Here is a 2,593-nt window from a genome sequence, read left to right as displayed (position 1 = left end):
TCTGTGTTTAGTTACAGGAGACACAAAGTATTCTGGAATACCAAGACAGTGTTTTCAGCCACGGTGCAACAATGCCAAGGGCATGTGAAGCTTCTACAGATAAGGCATCAAATGCAGAAAGCATCAGAAGCCAGCTTTGAAGGGCACAAGGTATGGCTCATGACATTTCAATGCCATGAAATAGGGCAGCCAGTGTTTGCAAAGCAAGCCAGGTGAGTTGGTGGCATAAGGAAAATGACTTCAGAGCTGGAACCTCTCCTGGTGTGGAGAAAACAGCTGGCTGACCTTCCCCCCAGAAACTCCTCCAAGTAGCTGAACAACACAGACTGCCCGTGAAGGCTGCATTTGGCAGTAAGGGCAGTCAGCAGTCATGGCTGGGGCAACCAGAAGGATTCCAAAAAGGAGCAAATAGAGAATTTGGCAAGGATGGAAAGTGGAAGGACAGCAAACAGGTGGGGATAACTCCTTAAAGGATGAAGCTAGGTTTATTTTATATGAAAGATGAAGTGTGAAATCCTGGGCAGGCATCTTCCATGAAATGACTTAGGGTAAGCCAGAGAAAAAATGAGGGAAGAAGACAGCCCTGATGATAACTAAAGCCTCTCTCTACCTTGGTTGCTAATGTTTTTACCCTGGGGTCAGGAACAGGGTGGTTATGATGGTGTAGAATATGGTCTTTTCTCCAGTGTTTGGGCCACTCTGGCCCCCTTGCTGTCCATCATCACTATGCCCAGAGATGGGCATGGGAAAATGAGAAGCTACATGGAGGGTTGCTCAGTGGCTTTTTACTAAGCAGGGCCTTGTACAGAGAAAATTGAAGCTTCTGTGCTGGCAGAGATGAGTGTAACCCTTGCTCCCTCCTTTGAGTGATTCACACTCAAATCTCATGCCAAGCCTGTGGTTTCACAGTAACAATGATTTTAGACTCCAGGATCCCTTTATAGACCAGCCACCAGAATTCCTTTTCTCCAAGCTCCACTGCCTTTTCTTTCTGGGCACTAGCTAGCTCACCCACTCATAGTAAAAACCTCCGAAGTTTTTCACCCACTTTCGTCATGACCTCTGAGACACCTCTACTCTCCCTTATTGCCTCACCTCTCTTACTTCCCATCCTTCCTTGAAATTTTGCTTTATTCTTTGGATCGAGACATGAGGTTGCTTCTTCAGAAGCTCCAGAGGCCCCTTTATGAAGTCCTCCCCACTAGTTTCTTCTCTGTATAGTCTATAAGCATATATGGATCACCTAGTCTTTAGCCAGGGGCCAGGCCCTGGTTTCTCCCTTGTGTCATGAATCTCAGTTCATTCGTATGCAGAAAGTCTAATGCCAACAGCCTAAAGTGGAGGTCAAGCCCCTGTAACTCCAACAGAGGCAAGAAAGTCACGAAGGTGGGGTTACCAGTGGTATCAGTCGGTTACAGCTGCCATAACAAAACACCATATACTGAATGGCTTAAAACAGTGAAGCTCATTTCCTCACAGTTCTGGAGGCTGGAAATCCAAGATCAAAGTGTCAATAGGTTTGGTTTCTCCTGATGCCTCTCTCCTTGGCTTGCAAATGACCCCCTTCTCCCTGACCTCACATGACCTTTTTTATGTGTGTGCACATCCTTGGGTCTCTTCCTCTTCTTATAAGGACACCACTGCTATTGGATTAGGACCCAGCCTTATGACCTCATTTAATTTTAATTACCTCTTTAAAGGCTTTATCTGCAAATACAGCCACATTGGGAATTAGGACTTCAACCTATGAATTTTGGGGAGAATAATTCAGTACGTCACACCAGTGAAGAAGCTTTTGTCTGCAAGTAGCAGAAACTTGACTCTCGTGTTCAGGTGTCCAGAGGAAGAGAGTATCCACTGTTAGTTCAGGGACCCCACAGGTTTATCAAGAACCAGACTCAAAAGAGACCACTGAAAGCATGTTCAGTTATGTGTATAGATCCAAAGACAATGATTCTCAAGTCTAGAAATTGTTTTAAGATTTTGTACATCTATTCTGCACCTGTCACTTATTTGTGAGAACCACCAGCAAAACATTAAACCAGGCTATATTATTGCAGGATACGCAAGGGTGTTTTCACTTTATCATCACTGGAAATGACACTGACATCACTTTCTTAGTTCATTTATTCAGAACACAGTTAATAAACGGGTCCCCTGCATTTTCAAGGCCTTGAGTTAGGGGCTTTCAAGGCCATTGGTATGAATCAGAAATTAGAGTGCCTCCACCTTGTTTTGTGAATTTCAGAGCAAGATTTAGCCACTTATGCCCACAGTGAGAAGAGAATTCTGAAAATTCAGATGTTCAAGAAAATACATGTAAGCAATAAATAAATAAACAAATAAATAAATAAACTGTGACACTCCTTAGAATCAGGCAACAATCAACTGCACAATTACTTATAGTGAAGATTCACACTTCAGGGGACACCAGAAAAAGTAGTTTCTGGCCAGGCATGGTGTCTCACTCCTGTAATCCCAGCACTTTGGGAGGCTGAGGAGGGTGGATCATGAGGTCAAGAGATCGAGACCTTCCTGGCCAACATGGTGAAACCCCATCTCTACTAAAAATATAAAAATTAGCTGGGCATGG

This window comes from Homo sapiens, chromosome 6, assembly GCF_000001405.40.
Source record: "Homo sapiens chromosome 6, GRCh38.p14 Primary Assembly".
In the NCBI taxonomy this organism is placed as follows: Eukaryota; Metazoa; Chordata; class Mammalia; order Primates; family Hominidae; genus Homo; species Homo sapiens.
Note: the sequence above shows the minus strand (reverse complement) of the source record.